The sequence below is a fragment of the Homo sapiens genome, chromosome 1, assembly GCF_000001405.40.
Source record: "Homo sapiens chromosome 1, GRCh38.p14 Primary Assembly".
Classification (NCBI taxonomy): Eukaryota; Metazoa; Chordata; class Mammalia; order Primates; family Hominidae; genus Homo; species Homo sapiens.
The window spans coordinates 112,784,518-112,808,298 of record NC_000001.11 but is presented as its reverse complement, the minus strand read 5'-3'; the positions used below and the strand labels follow the sequence as shown (position 1 = coordinate 112,808,298).

The following is a 23,781-nucleotide window of genomic DNA, read 5'->3' as shown; positions in this document are numbered from 1 at the left end:
CTGTCCTTGGCAGACTTAATTTCTTGCCACTGGGCCCTCCCGGTAGGCTGCTAGGAACATAGCAGCTGGCTTGCCCCAGAGCGAATATGCCAAGAGACAGCAGGCAAGAGAAACCAAAATAGAAGCCATGGTGTCTTTTAGAACCTAATTTTGGAAGTGACATACTATCACCTCTGCCATATTCTATTGCTGACACAGGCCAACCCTGGTACGATGTGAGAGGGAATATGAATTCTAGGAGGGAGGAAACATTGGGGTCCTTTTCAGAAAGGAGATACCACAAAACATATTTTTAAATGTTACTTATAAAACAAAATACGATCAACACCCATGAGCCCATCACTCACGAGAACTAGAAATCATATAACTTGCATCGTCCTATATGTGCCTTTTCCTCCACCCCTCTGCCTCCCTGTGGAAGAGGTAATTGCCATTTAAATTTGTGTTTATCGTTCCCTTGCTTTTTAAAAATTTTGCCACATCGGTACATATGTCGAAACAACATTTGTTGTTAGTTTTGCATTTGGATCTTTATAGAATTGATTGGCTCCATGAGTCAGGGGTCTGAGCCCCACTTGCTCAGGGCACCCTCATTCACTCTCCAAGCTTCTATAAAATGCTTCCCTCTTATTCCCCAACTCTGGTAGCTGCTTCTTGCCTTTCTTCTTTCTGGGTGACCTCAGCATTCTTTATTTATCCATTCTCTTGTCTCTCAATCCTTTTCTCCCCAAGGCTAGCCATAGAATCCCTCTTCCCCACCAAGTCATTGAAACCAGCACCTTTTCCCCAAAGCCAGCCATAAAACCAAAAATCATTAATCTAACTTTGCCTCTGCCTTTCTGTGTAAAAACTGGTCATAAAGAAATTACCTGACCTGCCTTGTTTGACTATGGGTTATAAGACCCCCATTCCAGAGAGGGTCCTGCCCCACATTCAGAAGGAAGGAATGCAGGAATGCGTGCTCTGAGAGGCCAAGAAGAATCTAGACAGACCGGCCCTGCTGGGATTCCCCACTCAGTCTGTTAGCGTTAGATCGTACTCTTTTTGTCCAATCATACTTTTTTTTTTTTTTTTTCCTGAGACAGAGTTTCACTCATTGCCCAGGCTGGAGTGCAATAGTGCAGTCTCGGCTCACTGCAACCTCCGCCTCCTGGGTTCAAGCAAGTCTCCTGTCTCAGCCTCCTGAGTAGCTGGGATTACAGGCATGTACCACCACACCCGGCTAATGTTGTATTTTCAGTAGAGATGGGGTTTCTCCATGTTGGTCAGGCTGGTCTCGAACTCCTGACCTCAGGTGATCCGCCTGCCTTGGCCTCCCAAAGTGCTGGGCTTACAGGAATGAGCTACCATGCCTGGCTTTTTTTTTTTTTTTTTTTTTTTTGAGATGGAGTTTAGCTCTTGTTTCCCAGGCTGGAGTGCAATGGCGCAATCTCGGCTCACTGCCACCTCCGCCTCCCGGGTTCAAGGGATTCTCCTGCCTCAGCCTCTGGAGTAGCTGGGATTGCAGGCATGTGCCACCATGCCCAGCTAATTTTGTATTTTTAGTAGAGACGGGGTTTCTCCATGTTGGTCAGGCCCAGTCTTGAACTCCCGACCTCAGGTGATCCACCAACCTGGCCTCCCAAAGTGCTGGGATTACAGGTGTGAGCCACCGTGCCCAGCCTGTCCAGTCACATTTCTACATAGCTGTCCATACTTTGTTGAACCTCAGCATAAAAATGGACAATTTCCTCTGTATCTTTTGGGTCTTTATTCTGAAGTCTGCCATGTACACATTAAATCTGTTTGTCTACTTTTTCTCTCACTAATCTGCCTCTTGTCAGTGATTTTCAGCAAAACTTCAAAGGACGAAGGGGAAATGTTCCCTTGTCCCTGCAATTTGTACAAACACTGTTAATCCGTATCCTCTCCCTGAGGCTTGTGTGGCCAGGAGGTGAACCCAGGGGCCTGGGAGAGGAAGGCACAGAGGCTGGCAGTGGGAGGGCCCTCACACCCATGATGCCAGTGCAGTTCAGCCACAGGTGCTTTTGTTCCCCAGGGAAGTATTCAGCTGGCCCCTCCTGAGGAAGGCTCACTTAGACAGGAACACTTTTGCACCCGGCTGCTTCTGTTGGTCCAGGGAAGACCCTGTATGCCCTCCTCATGGTAAGGATTTCATGTTGTAAGGACTTTGTCAGCACCCTGCTGCACACAACAGATGTTGGCAGAGCTTCTTTCCTTTCTCTGCCCCCACTTTCACCAAGCCAGTTCTTTTGGAAGGTGGAAATAAATGAAAGAAACAAACTCCCAGGCAAGTCGCAGTGCTCTGATCGCCGTCCTTATGAACAGAGCATTAATTAGTTGCTCACTCGCAGAAAGGAAAAGTTAATTACCTACCATGGAAACTTTAAAAAGAAAAAAAGGAAACATGAGTTTAAATTTTAATTAGGGCCCTTGCATGGTGGGAATAGAAAGGAGCTGGTTCTAATTGTGGGCATTTAAGGCAAGAGCCTTTTGTCCCTTTGTGCACCTCCTGTGCTCACCACCTCCCCACCAGACCTCCAGCCTGAACCTCCTCTCAGAATAGGCAGAGAAAATGAATGTGGAGGGGCCAGAGCACCCCCACTAGGACTCTGGTCATTGCCCCTTAGGGAGCTGTTCAAGGGCAGGGATTGAGAAACACAGGACAGGGTTCACTGCCCCAAATGACCTTCCTTACTGCTCACTGCTGCTTAAAATGTCAGCACCGGAAGAGTGGCAGATGCTGCTGTGTGCGGACCCCCTCCAGAAATGCAGGACACATTCCCCACCCTCAGGGAGCACAGCCAGCCCCTTCCAGGACTGCCCTAGATCACACCACCTGCCCAGGCCAGCCTGCACCCAATGACAGATCAATATATACTATGAACACCCAGCCTGCTCTCCCCAGTTTGAGACAACTCTGAAGGTCATTCCAGCTCCCAAGCTCCCTGCAGGGTCAGCTGGGACTGTTGTTCAGACTGCAGTGCAGCTCAACTTCTCCCTCTGTCCAATCTCACTGCTGTTGCCCCTCTCTTCCACAAGGGATCATCCCAAGAGAACTCCCTAACAAATGTCCTGAACACTTATCTCCGTCTCAGAGTTTGCTTCTTGAGGATCCTAGCTTGTGGCACAGATTTACAGTGAACAGTGTTAAAGTGCTATGGGAGGGATATGCATTGAGCAGTTTACATTTTATACAATCGTCAAGTTAAGGGACTATCAGAAGGCATGTAATCCAGTCCAATAGAGCACTCCCAGCTTAGCATTTGACCCAGCTAAGGCTGCCTTGATCTGAGCACTGACAGTGACAAGGACTCATCCTCTCACAGAACAGCCCTTTTGGTGCCTACACAGCTCCAACTGCTAGAAGGCTCTTCTCACACCGGTCGGCTTCTGCCAGGCAGAGCCACAGAGCAAGGGTCTATGTGTCTGCCAGGCCCATGCCAGGCTGTGAGGAAGACAGGATGCTGTAGACCCTGTCTCTGCCCCCTGGACAGATGAGGTCCAGAGTGAGGAAGTGAACAGGGGCCTGGCTCCCAGCACCCTCAACAGTCCTGGGGACATGCATTTGTTCCGCATTCAGAGTTCCGTACTGCCCCCTGTATGATGGGGCCATCAAGCATACAGTAGGACAATACCCAGTGACCTGGACACCGCCTCTGTAAGTAGCCTGGTCACATGCAGGGTCATTTCCAGGTGCTTTTGATAAGTTTGGTATCCACCGGGGGCTCCTTCAAAGGCATCTCCAGCCTGACCCTGGGCTCCCCTTATAGCAGCCTAGGCCTCAAGTTGGAGACCAATTAAGCTGAGGTTGTGTCAACCCCTTAGCTGCTTGCTTGCTAAGGAATTAGCAGTGCCCAGGGACTCCCTGTATGACATCGCTTTGACCAAGCCAACTCGCGGGCCCTGTTGTTGCTCTGGCCTAGCCGCAGCTAGATGGCACTGTCCCATCACGCCAGGCACCTGCCCTGCCTGGCCAGCCAGGCTCACTAAGCACCCAACCTTGTGACTACAGGAATGCAGAGGGGCCACACAAGGTTTCTGGACCCCAGCCCCAGATTTTTACTAAGGTAACTGTCACAGTCCATTGGAGACACTGCCCACCCTTCCTCCAGGGCTCAGAGAATTATTTGTTCATTCAACAAATATTTACTGAGCTCCTACTACTTGTTACGACTACTGGACTCCAGAGCAGGTACAGGAGATAAGGCCATGAGCACTGAAGACACTTTCCTGCCCTGCCTGGAGATAACAGACCAACTAGGGAGTCAGAAACACATGTAAATTCACATACCTGGGAAGTATTTCAAAGGACAGGATAGGATGCAGGGTGGGGGAGAGGGGGTGTTGGACAGGCCATCCTGTTCTGCTCTGAGAGGCTAGGGGATGTGGGGGGTTCTGAGAGAGTGGCCTCTGCACTAAAGTTTGAAGGAGAGTCCAAGTTCACCAGACAGAGGAGGTGTCCTGGGAAGGGCTTCTGCACCCAGAAGGGTGCAGATTTAAACTTTGTCAGCCAGACGTGGTGGCTCATGCCTGTAATCCTAGCACTTTGGGAGGCTGAGGTAGGCGGATCACTTGATGTCAGGAGTTTGAGACCATCCTGGCCGATATGATGAAACTCCACCTGTACTAAAAATACAAAAATTAGCTGGGCATGGTGGCACGTGCCTGTAGTCCCAGCTACTCGGGAGGCTGAGGCAGGAGAATTGCTTGAACCCAGGAGCAGAGGTTGCAGTGAGCTGACATTGCGCCACTGCCCTCCAGCTTGGGGGACAAGAGCGAAACTCTGTCTCAAAAAAAAAAAAATTGTCAGAAGAGATTCGAGTCAGATTCATGGAAGAACATATAGGCTGAGGGTGGTGAGAGTGAAAGGGGATGGGGGTGTCTGCCAACTCCATAGGGTCACTTCCAGCTCTGAGGATGGGAAAGGAAGGGCAAGCCCAGGTGGGCACCAGCCACATTAGACATGCTCTGTGACACCAGCTGAGGTTGGCCATTGCCATTTAGAGAGAGAGAGCACTAGCGAACTGCAGGCAGGAAACCCAGATTGTGAGGGGCCAGAAGGGCTGGGAGACGCCCAGAAGATCCAGACGAGTGGGCACCAGGAGGGGGAAGGAGTGCTCCCTTCTGGGGGCTCCATGGAGCCAGGTTGTAGCTTTCTCCAAGCAGGGCCCACAGGACAGGCAGGGAGTGGAGAGGAGGGCAGGACTGTGGGCTGGTTCAGGCTATAGGACCCACAGACAGACAAATGAGTACAAATGAGACACAAAGAAGCAGGCAGGGGCAGGGCACCGTGGCTCACACCTGTAATCCCAGCACTTTGGGAGGCCAAAGCGGGCGGATCACCTGAGGTCAGGAGTTAGAGATGAGCCTGGCCAACATGGTGAAACCCCATCTCTACTAAAAATACAAAAAATTAGCCAGGCTCAGTGGTGAGCACCTATAATCCCAGCTACTTGGGAGGCTGAGGCATGAGAATTGCTTGAACCCGGAGGCAGAGGTTGCAGTGAGCTGAGATGGTGCCACTGCACTCCAGCCTGGGTGACAAAGCAAGACTCTGTTTCAAAAAAAAAAGAAGCCAGCAGGACTTCCTTAGTCTCAGGTGGACTCTCCTGAGCCCCACACAGCAGAACGCTTCATCCGCTTGTCGTGGCACCCAAAGACTTTTCCTCCCCTGACACCTCCATCCCTACCCCATAAGAGCCCCCCCCCGCCCCTCCCTGGGCTGTTCCTCTGGGGCATCTACAACAACCAGAGCCTTCCAGGTAGTCCACACAAAAGTCTCTCCAGGTCTTATGTGGGCCGGAGCTAGGGGCGAGGGCAGGAAAGCCTCAGCCCCAGGGAAGAGGCCGCCATCTGTCAACCCTGGATGAGATGTGCACCAGCCTGAAAGCAGAGGAAGGGACAAAATGACCTCGGGAGCCTTCCAGCCCCAGAGCTGCCATTGGCTTGCTGGATGAAGGACATTAAATATTTGGCAAGTGCTCAGCAAGAATAGATGGGAGAACCCATAGCCAGGACCTCAAACCAGGGACTAGGAGAGGGCAGGGCCCTCTGCCTCACCCTGGCTGGGCCTGTTCCCTCATTAGGACCCAGGCACTGTCAATTACCACCAGGCATGGTGAAGAGGAAAACCAATCTATAGGGAGATGTGCCCTCTCCAAAACGTTATGGCAGGGACAGTAAGGAAATGTTGTTTCCCAAGCCAAGGTTCAGGCCTATTTGAAGGTTTAATGTGGTAAAAGGTCTGGGGTGGGCTGGGAAGAGGAGGGCTAAATAATTCAGAAAGCAAATGGAGAAGTGGCTGTTGATGATGCTGACCGAGGCTTGTGTAACTGGCTGGGCTCAGCAGCATCCTCAGGCTCCTGGGAGAAAGGGCACAAGTGGGGATTTGGGGAGACAGAGGCAGGAGTGAGCACACAGCCGGCCGGTAGAATAGCTTGACAGGTTTTGCTTCTCAAGGCACTTTCACAAGCCCCCTCCTCCCCAGGGCCCTATGAGGCAAGCAGGGCAGGTAAGGAGACTCTGGAGGCTGACCCCCCAGGCCTGCAGCCCAGGACCTCATGAGCAGCACAGCCCAGACAGGAAGTCCTCCCACTGCGTGGGGTCCTTACTTTCACACCACTTTCCTCTCTTCCACCTCCTGATCCCTGGGACAGTCCTGTGAGATACGTCAAGGATCGCTGAGCCTGGAGTAGCCAAAAGACCTGGGTTTTGAGCATGGTTTTGGCACAGCTAAGGTGTGTGATCTCGAGCAAGTTCTGTTCCCTCTCTGGACCTGCATAGACTTCTCACTTCTTTTTTTTTTTTTTTTTTTTTTAGACAGAGTTTCGCTCCCATTGCCCAGGCTGGAGTGCAATGGCTCAATCTCGGCTCACCACAACCTCTGCCTCTTGGGTTCAAGTGATTCTCCTGCCTCAGCCTCCTTAGTAGCTGGGATTACAGGCGCCCGCCACCACGCCTAGCTAATTTTGTATTTTTAGTAGATACAGGGTTTCTCCATGTTGGTCAGGCTGGTCTTGAACTCCTGACCTCAGGTGATCTGCTTGCCTCAGCCTCCCAAAGTGCTGGGATTACAGGTGTGAGCCACCATGTCCGGCCCTCACCTCTTTTTTATGATAAAAATGTGAAGATTGATATCTGAGGTCTCTTCTAGCTTTCATAGTCTCTGGTTCTAAGCCCAATGAGCAGATAAGAACATCAAGGTTTAGCCCGTAGGTGGGATAAATAGGGAAAAGGCCTCTTCCAGTTGCTTTTACTCCTATCTCTTGCCTCCCTTTTCACTCAGCTCAACCCAGGAACATGAGAAGAAAGTGCCACCTTGCCCTATCTGCACCCCGGAGACCTATGGGGAGGAGAATCCTGTCTTCTGGCTCCTTCTCTTGTCTGGACCCAAAAGCAGGAAGCCCATCAGTGTTTAATGAAGCCAGGACCAACCTAATTATCAGGGGCGCTTGTGTTAATAAGCACCTTTCAATCCATGCAGGGAGCTAATACAGACAGAATAAAAAGGGAAGAAAAGTCATTAGCTTGAAATGTCTGGGCCCCTACCTGGGCTGAGCCCCATGAAGTCATTATGGGTAGTTACGGGCTCTAACCACCACACGCAGTCCCAGGCAGGTACAGATAATGATAGGGGAGCATGTGGCCCCTCTGGGGTAGATAAGTCATCAAAAAGGACAGCTTTTTGTTTTTCGTTCTCTTCCATCCTGTTTCTTTGAGGGCCCCCACCAGCCCCTCCCCTGCACAGTCTGGTTTCATCCCTTTATTTAGAAACATCTGGTTTCTAAATAAAAGGAAAGAGTCCAACTTTCCTTTTATTTAGAAACAGGAGTCATCGTACTCTGAGATTCTGTAACTGAGTATTCTGGAAGCATTAAGAGCTTTCCTGATTCTCCCCTCCACTCACTCTGAGCCAGGGGTTGCTTGACTGGGGAGAAGCAGTGAAGATGGTGGAAAGTCAGTTAGACTTTGCTGATGGACTGGATGGGGGCAGGGAAATTGGTGGCACACGTCTGTAATCCCACCTACTTGGGAGACTGAGGCAGGAGAATCACTTAAACCAGGGAGGTAGAGGCTGCAGTGAGCCGAGATCATGACATTGCACTCCAGCGTGGGCAACATGAGCAAAACTGTGTCTCAAAAAAAAGATGTTGAGGCCAGTCATGGTGGTTCACACCCGTAACCCCAGTATTTTTGGAGGCTGAGGCAGGAGGATCACTTGAGTCCCAGAGTTCAAGACCAGCCTGGGCAATATAGTGAGACACCATCTCTTCAAAAAATAAAAATATTAGCTGCATATGGTGGCACAAACCTGTGGTCCCAGCTACTCAAGAGGCTGAGGTGGGAGAATCACTTGAGTCAGGGTGGTTGAGGCTGCAGTGGCCATGACTGCACCACTGCACTCCAGCCTGGGAGATGCAGTGAGACCCTGTCTCAAAAAAAAAAAAATAGAAGTTGAACAGTGGAGAGACAATTACAAATTGAAGCCAACTACTGCTACTAGAATGGACTGTGTAGAATACACTCTGCCCTGTGTAGAAGCAAGGCTGGACAACGTTGATAGGAACAGGAAGCAAAGAGGAAAAAGGCATCCTGTCTTCCTCCTCTAGCCTTCCAATCTCCCTGGTTACCCTATATTGACAGAAGCCAACAGGGTGCCAGTTAGCAAAGCAGAAATGTGGTTTTCAAATTTCTTGCCCCAGCTTCACAAGGCCCAGTAGAGAAGAGTGGGTTTGAAGCTTAGAGATACTAGCTGAATAACTGGTACATATATAAGGTCTCTGCATATGGCCTAAAGCCAGTCTGAATGGTGGGCTTTTTCCCAAACTTACTTCCTGGCTTCTGAGAGCTAAGAAGTGGCTGAGTATAGCAAACATCAGGGGAAACAGGCATCAGCTGGACAGAGCCGCCATATTGGGGAAAGTGGACCAGTCTATAAGCTGTGAGATTAGAAAAGAGCTGCTGGGAAGCAGCAGTGAAGGAAACCCATGGTGAAAGCACTTGAGTGACCCAGGCTGATGGAAGCATGGGAGAAGGGGCAAGAGTGAGGGGAGGCGCATTCACTAAGAATACGAAGAGAAAATATTTGAGCTTTCAGCTGGGATTCTGAGAGTGGAGCTCAGAAAGCTAATTCCATCTCTGAAGCCTCCTGTCCCTATATTGGTCTCTGGTTGGGCAAAGGAAGGAGACAGGGAGGTCTGAGTGGAACAAAAGCACCCAGCCCTTCCTTCCTTTCAAATCCCCTTGGGTTTCCTTCTTAATGAACCCCATCTGAGGTAGGACAGGGTGGGACACTTCAGAGATCTGGGGAAGATGTGGGGACTCAAGTGATGGGAGAGCCCAGGCAATTCTGGCTGGAGAGAGCTCCCCACACCAACATTCTTTTTTTTTTTTTTTTTTTTTTTTTTTGAGACAGAGTTTTGCTCTTGTTGCCCAGGCTGGAGTGGTACAATGGCACGATCTCAGCTCACCACAACCTCCGCCTCCCGGGTTCAAGTGATTCTCCTGCCTCAGCCTCCTGAGTAGCTGGGATTACAGGCATGCACCACCATGCCTAGCTAATTTTGTAATTTTAGTAGAGACGGGGTTTCTCCATGTTGGTCAGGCACCAACATTATTTTCTTCTGATTTACTGTTCTCAAAATTAACAAAAGAAGGGAAATGGAGGTGGGAAGCACTCCTGCCCCACTGGGCCCAGATTCATTCACTCCTGTCAGCTCACCTTTCAGATAATTCCCATGCTTACCACCTGCCAATCCGGATTGCAAGTCCTCCAACATGATTTATAGCCATGTCAACCATCCGTCTGCTGACAGAAGGCCTGAGCTCAGCCTTCTTACATCTCCAGCTGCTCAAAGTCTCCCGTGGAGGCCCTGCTGCTTGGTAATTTGAGTCCAACTCCCAATCTATATGATCACACTCCCATGGTTTCTTATACAGCCTCAAAAGACTGGAAGCATTTGAAATACTTACAATCAAAAACTGGGAAAGATATCCCATAATGCCCTGATGATCTGTCTTCCCAAGACCAGATGAGCCTTGAGTCTCTTGGCACTGGCTATACTTCAGTTTGGGACAGGACCCAGGAATCCTGGACCCCAAGCTAGGGGTTGGGCCACTCCCCATCACATATTCCTGCACCACATAGTCCCCACCTTCTCCACAGGGTCAGTGGCCTAATGCTTCTTCCTGGAACTTTCAGCCTGCACTCCACATCTGATATGTACAAAAAAAGATAATACAACCTAAGCTCACCACTGATTTGGACAAAAGCCCTGGTGATTATTTAAACTGAAATGCATTAATAGCTCTGAATATTTCATGCCAGGTACATTAGAACAACCAGCATTATTTATTGAAGGCTGATCACCCATCATGGATATTAATACACTTTGCTGCACAGTGTCAGCCAAAGGGAAATTAGCTTCAAGGGATAAGGTGAAAGGCTTTTGGTTTCCTAGGTACTTTTGTCCCAGGAAATATATTAAGTCTTGCGTGGATGGAAGTTGTGGCTCAGTAGTGTTATCCAACATCACTCTGTCTTCTGACAAAACTTTTGGAAGGCTCATCAGGATGGCCTTTCCATCACCATCCAATTTGTGAGTAGGAGACCTACCATCATGTTCCAGGCACCAATTAGTCCAGGCTGAGATGCATATTTCTCTAGCAGATATTAATTCTCCAACATCTTGCTCTTCTGGTTTTCTACAGAGGAGAGTAAAAGAGTAAATGGGTTTAACTGATGAGGGAAGAATTTTGTTGATATAAGAGAGAAACTCACAGCAATGAGCAGCTCTAGTTTCTCTTCCTGGATGATGTATTTATCGTGTTGAGTCTCTGACACTGTTCCCTTTGGCCTGTGCTCTCAAACTCATTTGTCAGTCAGGGTCAGTGCAGGAAACCAACCACTCTAGCTATTTTAAGCTGCAAGAAATGTAATACAGATAATTAGATTCTTATAAAATTGTCAAAAGGTTGGAGGAATGAGCTTTAGGCTAACATTCTGTGGCTAACATTCGGAATTTCAGAGAATGGACCCACAAGAACTATCAATCTAATCTTATCTTTTCTTTCTTTCTCTCTCTCTCTCTTTTTTTTTTTTTTCTTTTTTTGAGACGGAGTCTCACTCTGTTGCCCAGGCTGGAGTGCAGCGGAGCGATCTTGGCTCACTGCAACCTCTGCCTCCCAGGTTCAAGTGATTCTCCTGCCTCAGCCTCCCAAGTAGCTGGGATTACAGGTGCCTGCCACCAGGCCTGGCTAATTTTTGTATTTTTAGTAGAGATGCGGTTTCACCATGTTGGCCAGGCTGGCCTGGAACTCCTGACCTCAGGTGATCCACCTGCCTCAGCCTCCCAAAGTGCTGGGATTACAGGCGTGAGCTACCACACCCGGCCTACTTTCTTTACATATATTTTCCCAATTCAGGGATCTACACTGTCAACTATGTAAATATTATACAATTGTAATAATATTAGCAACTACTATTTTTCACTTCATAATCTGAGCCAGGCTCTTTACGTTCATTATAGTAACTAATTTAATCTTCACATAACTCATTTTACAGAAGAGAAAACCATGTCTGAAAAGTTAAGCAAGAGATAATGCAGACACTCTACTTTGCATACAGGTGTTTCTGATTCTAAATTTCATGTTTCATTCACTCATTCTAGGCTCTCTCTAATTAAGTGCCCCTTTCTTTAATATTTGAGCCGTGGATATTAAGGCTCCCCACTGCTTTGCACCTTCTCACCCTGTCCTTTTGCTCTTGCCATGCTTACTGCAGCCCACAGCCTGGAAAGGACAGGCTTTCTTCCTCCCCCAGGGCTGAGTGGACCTACTTAGCAATCTCCCTTCACGTGCAATTCATTTGAAGAGGAAAAGTTGTAAATAATTTTTTGTCCAGTAGAAGTGCAAATGATAGCACCTCTGCCCCATAGAAAAGATAGATACAAAGGTTACCATTGTATTGTCTCATAGGGCATTAACAAAGTTTTATAGTTAACTTAGCAAATTTTCTTTCTCTGTCCATATATACTGTATCATATATCCTTCTTTGAAATGGCTTTACCATTCTGCCCATTCCCTCATTAATGAGTTAAATAAATGCTCACTATATATTTACAAGAGAATCATCTTTTAACTTTTCGAAAATTATACTTGAACTTCCCCTCACCTGCAGTTTCTATTTTCTTTAAGAACCCCTCATAGATAACCACATCATCTAAATACACCCACGAAAGAGACCAGAGGATTTTTGATCAATAACAACAGTGGTGGGGTAGAGAGGATCTCCCAAGGAGGTGTCCTCTCGTTTTCCTGGAGGATAGGACATCTTCCCACATTCATCTCACAGCAACCATTCAATCTGGAGTGTCGGAATTCCGCAGGCCTGGGCCTGGGTGCACAGAGATGAAGAAGGTGCCTCAGGAGCCTAAGCTTGAGCTCTTCAGCCTTCCTTGGGTGCTCCCTGCTTCACCAGCCAGACGGGATTATAATTAGGCTGCCTTCTCTACTTTCTTTTTTGCCTTCCTTCCTCTAGAGGCAAGAGGGTGGAGTGGGAGTTGAGAGAGAAAAACATTTCAACGAATCAATTAGTTCACCCAACCAATTTCCATTCATTAGGGGCAGTTTCCTTTAGGCCAGATCCCCTCCATGAATTTCTCTGTACCCAATACACACACTCTCTCTCTGTCTCTCTCTCTCTCTCTCTCTCACACACACACACACACACACACACACACACACGCACACATATACACACACACACACACAGGGGTAGCTCCACAGGTCCCTGCTCCACCTTTTTTTTTTTTTTTTTTTTTGAGATGGAGCTTCGCTCTTGTTGCCCAGGCTACATGATTTTGGCTCACCGCAACCTCTGCCTCCCGGGTTCAAGTGATTCTCCTGCCTCAGCCTACCGAGTAGCTGGGATTACAGGCATGCGCCACCACGCCCAGCTAATTTTGTATTTTTAGTAGAGGTGGGGTTTCTCCATATTGCTCAGGCTGGTCTCAAACTCCCGACCTCCGGTGATCCGCCCGCCTCAGCCTCCCAAAGTGCTGGGAATACAGGTGTGAGCCATCGCACCTGGGCCCTGCTCCACTTTTGTCTCTTCCTTACCTCCCTTCTTTTTTTCCTAAATGCATTAGGGGACTTGGAGTTAGAATGAAATAAATGGCAAGGACCCAAAGCCAATTTGTTTTAATATGCTAATGGAGTGAGTGCTGAAATGTGTTATTTTTGCATACACCACTTTGAAATGCAAATTACAAGAACTGTCAGTAACCATTTCTCTAATCTCCTGGGGTTAAAGGACAAAGGGGAGAAAATTACTTGAAATGAAAACTTATTTGCCAACTCTTTTGTAGCAGAGAAACTTCTTGCATTCCCCAGGGCCGTCTTCTGCTCCCCCTAAACAGTGTGAAGTCCTAGAGTCCTCTTCACACTAAAGGGAACTTGTTACTTTCATAGCCAGTGGCCTTGCAGATAGCTGGGGGTAGTGGGGTGGAGGTGAAAGGGTGACGGGTGGACAGATCTTATCAGAATGAAAACACAGTTGCCTTGTTTCAGTTTTTCTTTCCTCTCTATAACACCAACTGGGATCTCGAAAGAGAAGAGACCAGAGAGACTCACTGAAAACAAAGTCTTGAACTATTTCAGTGTCCTCGCCTGCAAAGTTGATTAGAACTCCTAAGTTCAAAGCACGGGCTAACTCATTCAAGTTTCCGTGCTTCTGTTCCTAACCTTATATTCACTGGCCTGGTCTTGCCTTGTAGAAAACATTGCTGATCTGACATTCCCTTATTGTCAACCTTCTGAGGAGTCTGGCTCCCGATTAAAAACCCACATGTGATTTTTCAGCCTTGACACAAGGCCTGAACCACCCAGTTCTCCTTTCTTGCTTGTAGTTCTCAAGAATAACTATAGAATGTGCTGGGAATGCAAAATCCTGAGATAAGGGGAAAGTTGGCTGGAACAGCCCGGGCTCTGTTCCAGTCCCCCCTTGCACAGCATGGCCTTCAACACGAGTCCTGTGTGTCATGTGACCCCAAGGTATATAACCCAGGTGGACTGCCTTACAGGGGCACGCGCAGTGGAGACTCCCCGCCCCGGGCAGCTTTCTGAGCCATGGAGAACTGGGTCACAGTGAGTCCTTGGCATCTGTTGTCCTTTGCTGCCTACCTGTAAGTGATAAACCTGCTTCATATAACTCAAGTATCATTGTGTTTGGTCTCACTGGATTCACAAAAGTGAGCCTGCTTCACAGCAGTTAGGAAGGCTTCACCTGCCAGGTCTCCCAGGCAGGCTGCCCTCCTGCAGCAGTCTCAGCTTACCACTAGTGCATCTCAGCCTTGGAGGGAGCCGCAGTCAAGGTCTCAAGGCCTGCTGTGGGCCATGTTCTTATACATATCTACATTCCTAGCCCATTCAGTGCCCCACATTCCTACATCTCTTTCTCTGAGGCCTCAGGCAGAGGTTCTCTTCAGGTGACCTCTTCAGAGGACTTCTGTCCAGGTCTCCTTAATCGGGGGAAGGAAGAAAACCTTGAAGATACTGTTCTCCACTCTAACTCAGTACTCAGGACTTCACTTCTAGACCTTTCCCCTTGCCCTTCCTCAACTCCAAGGTCCATAAAGCGGCCACAGCCTTTTGTTGGGGGCTTTCTCAACAGTGAAACCCTAGGTCTATGCTGATCCACCTGACCTTCAACTGGTGCGCTGCTGTCTCACGAAAGCTGGAACAGGGGATGCCGGTGCTTCCCCCAGTTTTAGCCCCTCGCTTATACTATCACAGTAACTAAAGGCTTAATGTTTTTATTTACAGCTTGCTTTAATCATCAACTTCAACACCTGAAAGCTCAGCTCTCTCTCTCCCTTTCCTCCTCTCCTGAGCTCCTGACACCTTCTCTTGCAATCCTCATACCCATTAGACTGGGAGATCTCTAAGGTCAAAAGGACTTTTTTCTTGATAATAATGGGTAACATTTTTCAGCATTTGCTGTATGCCAAACACAATGCTATGTACGTTATTTAAAATACTTAACTGGGGGGTGTAAACCAAAAATAAAATTCTAAGTCCCCCGACCATCTGAATGGAACCTTCCTCTCCACCAAGGACATTTCAAAGTTGACCTGAAAAACCAATTCAGGCCATGATGGGAGGGGGTGTTCAGACACACCTTATTATACCTTCCTCACTTTTGGGGATAATGCTGACCAGCATTATCATCAACATAGACCTTAAGACTGATGGAACAGACTCTTTAAGTATGATGAGAAACATTTACAATCTATTCTCTCTGAAGCCTGCTACCTGGAGGCTTCCTCTGCATGATATCTTTTTTTTTTTGAGACGGAGTCTCACTCTTGTCACCCATGCTGGAGTGCAGTGGCACGATCTCAGCTCACTGCAACCTCTGCCTCCCGGGTTCAAGTGATTCTCCTGCCTCAGTCTCCTGAGTAGCTGGAATTACAGGCGCCCACCACCATGCCCAGCTGATTTTTTGTATTTTTTTTTAGTACAGACAGGGTTTCACTGTGTTAGCCAGGATGGTCTCAATCTCCTGACCTCCTCATCTGCCCGCCTCGGCCTCCCAAAGTGCTGGGATTACAGGCGTGAGCCACGGCGCCCGGCCTGTTTGCTTTTTTGAGATGGAGTCTCACTCTGTCACCCAGGCTGGAGTGCAATGGCGTGATCTCAGCTCACTGCAACCTCTGCCTCCTGGGTTTAAGCGATTATCCTGCCTCAGCCTCCTGAGTAGCTGGGATTACAGGCACACGTCCCCATGCCCAGCTAGTTTTTGTATTTTTAGTAGAGACGGGGTTTCACCATGTTGGTCAGGCTGGTCTTGAACTCCTGACCTCATGATCCGCCCGCCTTGGCCTTCCAAAGTGCTGGGATTACAGGCGTGAGTCACTGCGCCCAGCCTTCTCTGCATGATAAAACCTTCATCTCCACAAGCCCTTATCTTAGCCCAGACATTCCTTTCTAGTGATTCTAAGTCTTTAGACAATAACTTAACTCTTTCAACCAATTGCCAATCAGAGAATCTTTGAATCTACCTGAGAGCACTTCAATTGTCCCATCTTTCCAGACTGAAGCAATGTACATCTAACATGTATTGATTGGTGTTTTCTGTCTCCCTAAAATGTATAAAGCCAAGTTGTAGCCCATCCACCTTGGGTGCATGTTCTCAGGATCTCCTGAGGGCTGGGTCATGAGCCATTGGTCACTCATATTTGGCTCAGAATAAACCTTGTCAAATATTTTACAGAGTTTGACTGCTTTTGTCCACAGAGGCCATTAGGCTGAGATGGCTTCAGCACCTTCAGTTCCTACATAAACAAACTAAAATCAAAGTCAACGTAAACCATAAAGTGAAAGTTAAGCTAAACCAATCAGAAACTGCCAACTATGCTCATTTTAAAGATTTCACCAATATGAAACCGCCAGCTAACGACCAAGCAGGGACTTTACACTTCAACCAAGCAAATATTTTCTTTGTGTTTCCCAAACACCTTATAAAAGGTTTTTCCTTGCACCCATTGGTGGAACCCAAACTGCTTGTGATTTGGCCCTGCGTGATTCATGAGTTGCTGTCCACTCAAATAAACTCTTTAAAATTTCAGTGTGCCCAAGTTTACCTTTTAACAAGTTTATATGCATTATCTTGACTAATAATCACAAGAATTGCCTTTATTGTTGATGATTATATGCCAGACACACTCCTGATTGGATCAGCAATTATCGGACAATTAGATTTGGAAGGGTGCAGGGTGACTACCCTGTCATTCGTAAGATATGCCTATCTGCCAACCCAGGCCAGTCTCAGTCCCATCCATCAGCTTTGGAGCCAGCTCACCAGGAGGGGGTGGAGTGAAGGCCTAAAAGCGGGGCTAAGATAAGGGGTGGCTCTGTGCATCTCTTTGGGTTCTGAAGCCGCTCCTTCCCACCAGCCTGCGGTGTCTCCTCTCCCATTCTAAGACCAGGGCACGGGCATTTTAAAGACTATATCCGTCAAGATATATGAAGCCTTTGGAGACTATTGTGAAAGTTTACACAAATCTGATTATCCCCACAGTGAACTGAATTATAGTCAATTAGTCTAACAAGATTAGTGTCGAGTAGATTTGCTGAATTTACTGCCTTGACTGATAATGCGGAAAGGGAAGAATAAACAGACTTCTGTCTCTATCTTAGTCCTTTCCTTCATTCTTCATTCCCCTCCCCACTCAGAAACTTTTGGATCTTCAAGGGAGAGAGCTTATAAATCACACATGCCATCCACCCAATGGGGCAGATTCATCTGTTCCTGACCTCATTCTGGCTGCCCTTCCTTCCTGCTGATCAGTAAACAGTCCTTCATTACCATAGCAGCTTTGTCCTTCTTCCCTGGCAGTTCCTGTCCACTGGGGAATAATAATTGAACCAAAGTTTGGAGCTGAGAAGAAAGCGATTTTTCTTCCTTGAGGTTTGGTGTGGGTTGGGTGTGAATTGACCAGTAGTTGTGTGCAGGCTGGGGAGCTCCTGCTTCTATCATCAGCCAACTCAGAAATTTCATCAAGATCTAAATCTAAAGCCATTTCCCCTTGGAGTCAACCTGACTGGCATTCTCTTTGGTGTTTGACTTCTAAATCTCTCTCTAATGTGCCAGGAGATGGGGAGTTGGCATTAGTTCTAATTGTCAATCATCCCGCTCCACCATACCTTTATCTCCACTAACTTCACACCACCTAGCTGGAGAGATGGATCATTCCCTTCCTTTTACAGAAGATGAGGATGAAGCTCAGTTGACACCAAGCCAGGCTAGAATGCTGATGAGACCTCAGTGAGCTTTGCCTAGGTCCCATCCACATGCCCTTGGCATTCACCTCTGCCCATCCAAGGCTGCCCACTTAGAACATCTACATGCCTGGCAAACTAGAAGTGCCAGAGAGTGGAAGGCCCCAGAGGCAAAATGGCAAGTGGTAAAAGGGTGGGGCATAAGCACCTGGCTTCCTTGTCCTGAGTTGCCTCATGACAGCATGTCCCATATCATCTCCTGACGTTCCCCAGTAGGATAGGGCTCCAGTTGCCTACAGTGGTAACTGGCTTGGTAACATCCCTTCATTAACTTCCTTTCCTTCCCTATCTCACTTTACCACTCCTGATGGGTGTTTCCTGAGATTACCTCCCAAAAAATGCTTTGCACTTACATCCTTGTCTCAGGATCTGTTTCAGAGGAATTCAATCCAATATAAGACACTTCCATTTTTGGTGCCTTAACTTCTGGCTCTGCAGTAGCAGCACTAACAGCAGTAGTTGCTGGGCTTCCCTAGAGCTCCTAATGGGGCACATCTAGGGGTTCAGGATGGAATGACTTGCCCTCACCAAGTTGTGCAAATCCCAGTACGGGGGAGTGTGTAAGACCTCAGGTCATTAGCACCCTTCCCTGTTAAAGGGGTTTGAAAAGTTTAGGAACCATATGTCTGAATGGCCATACTTGCCTTGCAAGGTGTGGGAATCAGAAATGCAAGAGGAAGAGGCCGGGCGTGGTGGCTCACGCCTGTAATCCCAGCACTTTGGGAGGCCGAGACGGGCAGATCACAAGGTCAGCAGATTGAGACCATCCTGGCTAACAAGGTGAAACCTCGTCTCTACTAAAAATACAAAAAATTAGCCGGGCATGTTGGCGGGCATCTGTAGTCCCAGCTACTCGGGAGGCTGAGGCAGGAGAATGGCATGAACCCGGGAGGCAGAGTTTGCAGTGAGCCCAGATCGCGCCACTGCACTCCAGCCTGGGCAACAGAGCGAGAATCCGCCTCAAAAAAAAAACAAGAAATGCAAGAGGAAGTGACCCTGGGTCAGCAAAGGAGCTGAGGGACACCATTTACCTTTCTGGGACAGGTTTTCAAGCTCTGGTGCTTCCTCAACAGGCTATAAATAACAGGTCCAGAGTCTTACTCCCTTGCACCTCCATTCTGCGATGGGCACTCATGAGAGGGCAATGGGGAGCATGTGGCACTAGAAGCCAGAACACCTGGTCTGAGATACTGGAAAATACTTAGGAAAAATCTTGAGTTCGTAGTTTTTCAACGTTTTTCCCCTAGAGACAGGGCCTTGCTCTCTTGTCCAGGCTGGAATGCGGTGGCACAATTATAGCTCACTGCAGCCTTGAACTCTTGGCATCAAGTGATCCTCCTGCCTCAGCCTCCTGCTGGGATTACAGGCACGAGCCACTGTGCCCAGCTTCAACCTTCTTTAAACATTTGTTTTTCAGTTTATAATTCTAGCTGAGTGACCTTAGGCAAACGACACTACCACTCTATCTATGCATTGCTCATCCATCCATTCATTTATCAGACATTTTAAAGGCAATGTGCCAGGTACTGTGCTGGGTACACAGATATAGAAATTAATGACAGTCCATACCCTCTGGAAGCTCCCAGTCTCATGTGGCAGACACAGACTAGATCCATGCTATGAGAGAGGTAGATACAGTGGGAAGGAGTGCTTGGAGAGGCCTCTCACCCAGGCTTAGAAAAGTGAAGAAAGAGTTCCTGGAGAGCTGCCACCTGAGATGAGTCTTGAGGTAGCAGTTAATAAAAGGAACAGCATCTGCAGCAGAGAGAACAGTACATAAACAGATGAGGAGGTCAGAGAAGCCAGAGAAAGATGGGGACCCTGAAGCTGTTTCCACATGGTATGTCCCTGAGCAGATCACTTCACCATGCTGGGCCTTGGCTTCCCCACTTGACCTGCTTTCTTCAACAATTGGAATAAGATTAAATATGATAATGGATGTGAGAGCATTTAGAAAGCCTAAGGTCATGTAGAAATATGAAAGATTGAAGAGGGGCATGATAGAACATACCCCACCCCTGTCATTGGGAAAGAAGATAGTGTTGGGAGAGGGGACACACAAGGTGATATTTCTTTGCTCTGTGTCTTGTCTGAAGTAGTCAGTGTGGCTGACGGGGCCATAAATTAGACTGAGCAGCAATAAACATAATCCTGTGTAAAGTATTAGACAGCTGATGAGCACATTTTGTATGTGTGTGTTTTGTTTTGTTTTTGAGAGAGAGTCTCACTCTGTTGCCTAGGCTGCAGTGTAGTGGTGCTGATGAGCACTTTTACAACAATTTATTCCTCATGTGATATGGTTTGGATCTGCATCTCTGCCCGAATCTCATGTTGAATTATAATCCTCAATATGGGGGGTGGGGCCTGGTGGGAGGTGATTGGATCATGGGGGTGGTCTCTCATGGTTTAACACCATCCCCGCTTGGTCCTGTATAGTGATAGAGTTCTCAGGAGATTTGGTCGTTTAAAAGTGTGTTGGCTGGGTGCGGTGGCTCACACTTGTAATCCCAGCAATTTGGGAGGCTGAGGTGGGCAGATCAATGAGGTCAACAGTTTGAGACCAGCCTGGCCAACGTGGTGAAACCCCATCTCTACTAAAAATACAAAAATGAGCTGGGCATGCTGGTGAGCACCCGTAATCCCAGCTACTTGGGAGGCTGATGCAGGGAATTGCTTGAACTGGGAGGTGGAGACTGCAGTGAGCTGAGATCCCACCACTGCCCTCCAGCTTGGGTGACAGAGTGAGACTCAGTCTCAAAAAATAAAATAAAAATAAAAGTGTGTAGCATCTCTCTCTCTCTCAGTCCTACTCTGGCCATGTAAGATGTGTCTGCTTCCCCTTTGCCTTCGGCCATGATTGTAAGTTGACTGAGGCTTCCCCAGAAGCTGAGCAGATACCAGCATCATGCTTCCTATACAGTTGGTGGAACTGTAAATTAATTAAACCCCTTTTTTTTTACTATTATTATTTTTTTGAGATGGAGTTTCACTCTTGTTGCCCAGGTTGGAGTGCAATGGCATGATCTCTTAGCTCACTACAACCTCCACCTCCCTGGTTCAAGCAATTCTCCTGCCTCAGCCTCCCGAGTAACTGGGATTAGAGGCATGAGCCACCACGCCCAGCTAAATTTGTATTATTTTTTTTTTTTTTGGAGACAGAGTCTCACTGTCTCTCAGGCTGGAGTGCAGTGGTGCCATCTCTGCTCACTACGCTCACTACAAGCTCCTCCTCCCGGGTTCAGGTCATTCTCCTGCCTCAGCCTCCCGAGTAGCTGGGACTACAGGCGCCCACCACAACGCCCAGCTAATTTTTTGTATTTTTAGTAGAGATGGGGTTTCACCGTGTTAACCAGAATGGTCTCAATCTCCTGACCTTGTGATCTGCCTGCCTCGGCCTCCCAAAGTGCTGGGATTACAGGCGTGAGCCACCGTGCCGAGCTCTAATTTTGTATTTTTAGTAGAGACAGGGTTTGTCCATGTTGGTCAGGCTAGTCTTGAACTCCTGACCTCAGGTTATCTGCCCGCCTCAGCCTCCCAAAGTGCTGGGATTACAGGCATGAGCCACCAAGCCCAGCCTAAACCTCTTCTTTCTTTCTTTTCTTTTTTTTTGAAACAGAGTCTCACTCTTTTTGCCCAGGCTGGAGTGCAATGGCGCAATCTCGGCAGACTGCAACCTCCCCTTCCCGGGTTCAAGCAATTGTCCTGCCTGCCTCAGCCTCCCGAGAAGCTGAGATTACAGGTGTGCATCACCACGCCCAGCTATTTTTTTTTGTATTATTAGTAGAGGCGGGATTTCACCATGTTGGCCAGGCTAGTCTAAAACTCCTGACCTCAGGTGATCCACCCACCTCAGCCTCCCAGAGTGCTGGAATTATAGGCGTGAGCCACTGTGCCCAGCCAATTTCTTTTTTTTTTTAATGAAAAAAATATAATGATGGAACTGATAAAGAAATTTCATTATTTTGTCCTCTAAAATGTGTGTGCCTGCTCTCAGATTGTCTTTTTGTCTTGGCTGCGATTCTGCATAAAATCTCTCACTGAAGCACTCAAAAGGCTGGTCGATTTAATGTCAGGCTGGGCGTGGTGGCTCACACCTGTAATCCCAGCACTTTGGGAGGCCGAGGCGGGCGGATCACGAGGTCAGGAGATCAAGACCATCCTGGCTAACACGGTGAAATCCCGTCTCTACTAAAAATACAAAAAATTAGCCGGGCATGGTAGCGGGCGCCTGTAATCCCAGCTACTCAGGAGGCTGAGGCAGGAGAATGCCAATTTCTTTTCTTTAATAAATTACCCAGTCTTGGCTGGGCACAGTGGCTAATGCCTGTAATCCCAGCACTTTGGGAGGCCGAGGCAGGGGAAAAACCTGAGGTCAGGAGTTTGAGACCAGCCTGACCAATATGGTGAAACCCCATCTCTACTAAAAATACAAAAATTAGCCAGTTGTGGTGTTGGGTGCCTGTAGTCCCAGCTACTCAGGAGGCTGAGACCAGAGAATTGCTTGAACCCAGAAGGCAAAGGTTGCAGCGAGCCAAGATCACGCCACTGCACTCCAGCCTGGGCGACAGAGCGAGACTCTGTCTCAAAAATAAATAAATAAATAAAATTACTCAGTCTTAGGTGTTTCTTTTTTTTTCTTTTCTTTTTTCTTTCTTTCTTTCTTTCTTTCTTTCTTTTTTTTTTTGAGACAGAGTTTTGCTCTTGTTGCCCAGGCTGGAGTGCAATGGTGCAATCTCGGCTCACTGCAACCTCTGCCTCCTGAGTTCAAGCAATTCTCCTGCTTCAGCCTCCCAATTAGCTGGGATTACAGGCATGCACCACCATGCCTGGCTAATTTTGTATTTTTAGTAGAGACGGGGTTTCTCCATGTTGGTCAGGCTGGCCTCGAACTCCCGACCTGAGGTGATCCGCCTGCCTCGGCCTCCCAAAGTGCTGGGATTACAGGCGTGAGCCATCACACCTGGCCTTTTTTTTTTTTTTTTTTTGAGACAGAGTCTTGCCCTCTTGCCCAGGCTGGAGTGCAGTGGCATGATCTCTGCTCACTGCAACTTCTGCCTCCTGGGTTCAAGCAATTCTCCTGCCTCAGCCTCCCGAGTAGCTGGGAATACAGGCACGTGGCATCATGCCTGGCTAATTTTTGTATTTTTAGTAGAGACAAGGTTTCACCATGTTGGCCAGGCTGGTCTCAAACTCCTGACCTTGTGATCCGCCCGCCTCAGCCTCCCAAACTGCTGGGATTACAGGCTTAAAATAATTCCTTGCCGGGAGCAGTGGCTCATGCCTGTAATCCCAACACTTTGGGAGGCCAAGGCGGGCAGATCACGAGGTCAAGAGATCAAGACCTTCCTGGCCAACATGGTGAAAACCAGTCTCTACTAAAAATAAAAAAATTAGCTGGGCATGGTGGTGCGCACCTGTAGTCCCAGCTACTCGGGAAGCTGAGGCAGGAGAATCGCTTGAACCTGGGAGGCAGAGGTTGCAGTGAGCCAAGATCGCGCCACTGCATTCCAGCCTGGCGACAGAGTGAGACTCCAGCTCAAAAAAAAAAAAAAAAAAAAGAAAGAGAAAAGTATTTCTTTATAGCAATGTAAGAACAAACTAGGGCCAGGCACGGTTGCTCACGCTTGTAATCCCGGCACTTTGGGAGGCCGAGGTTGGTGGAGCACCTGCGGTCAGGAGTTGGAGACCAACCTGGCCAATATGGTGAAGCCTCATCTCTACTAAAAATACAAAAAAATTTAGCTGGGCATGGTGGTGGGCACCTGTAACCCCAGGTACTCAGGAGGCTGAGGCAGGAGAATTACTTGAACCTGGGATGCGGAGGTTGCAGTGACCCAAGATTGCGCCATTGCACTCCAGCCTGGGCAAAAAGAGTGAAACTCCATCTCAAAAAAAAAAAAAAACCAAAAAAAACAAAAACCAAAAAAACCCCACAAA

The 23,781-nt window shown here is 48.0% G+C and overlaps 6 annotated features.

Moving 5' to 3' along the window:
- Positions 3,866-4,015: a silencer, noted in NCBI's record as "silent region_1206". NCBI's record gives its function as "represses an Ori minimal core promoter by ATAC-STARR-seq in GM12878 lymphoblastoid cells {active_cell/tissue: GM12878}" and the evidence as "EXISTENCE:reporter gene assay evidence [ECO:0000049][PMID:35858748]".
- Positions 4,126-4,175: an enhancer, noted in NCBI's record as "active region_1519". NCBI's record gives its function as "activates an Ori minimal core promoter by ATAC-STARR-seq in GM12878 lymphoblastoid cells {active_cell/tissue: GM12878}" and the evidence as "EXISTENCE:reporter gene assay evidence [ECO:0000049][PMID:35858748]".
- Positions 4,652-5,152: an enhancer, noted in NCBI's record as "H3K4me1 hESC enhancer chr1:113345769-113346269 (GRCh37/hg19 assembly coordinates)". NCBI's record gives its function as "activates a minimal SCP1, AML or CMV promoter by ChIP-STARR-seq in primed H9 embryonic stem cells {active_cell/tissue: H9 hESC(primed)}" and the evidence as "EXISTENCE:reporter gene assay evidence [ECO:0000049][PMID:30033119]".
- Positions 5,153-5,653: an enhancer, noted in NCBI's record as "H3K4me1 hESC enhancer chr1:113345268-113345768 (GRCh37/hg19 assembly coordinates)". NCBI's record gives its function as "activates a minimal SCP1, AML or CMV promoter by ChIP-STARR-seq in primed H9 embryonic stem cells {active_cell/tissue: H9 hESC(primed)}" and the evidence as "EXISTENCE:reporter gene assay evidence [ECO:0000049][PMID:30033119]".
- Positions 15,714-16,286: an enhancer, noted in NCBI's record as "H3K27ac-H3K4me1 hESC enhancer chr1:113334635-113335207 (GRCh37/hg19 assembly coordinates)". NCBI's record gives its function as "activates a minimal SCP1, AML or CMV promoter by ChIP-STARR-seq in naive H9 embryonic stem cells {active_cell/tissue: H9 hESC(naive)}" and the evidence as "EXISTENCE:reporter gene assay evidence [ECO:0000049][PMID:30033119]".
- Positions 16,287-16,861: an enhancer, noted in NCBI's record as "H3K27ac hESC enhancer chr1:113334060-113334634 (GRCh37/hg19 assembly coordinates)". NCBI's record gives its function as "activates a minimal SCP1, AML or CMV promoter by ChIP-STARR-seq in naive H9 embryonic stem cells {active_cell/tissue: H9 hESC(naive)}" and the evidence as "EXISTENCE:reporter gene assay evidence [ECO:0000049][PMID:30033119]".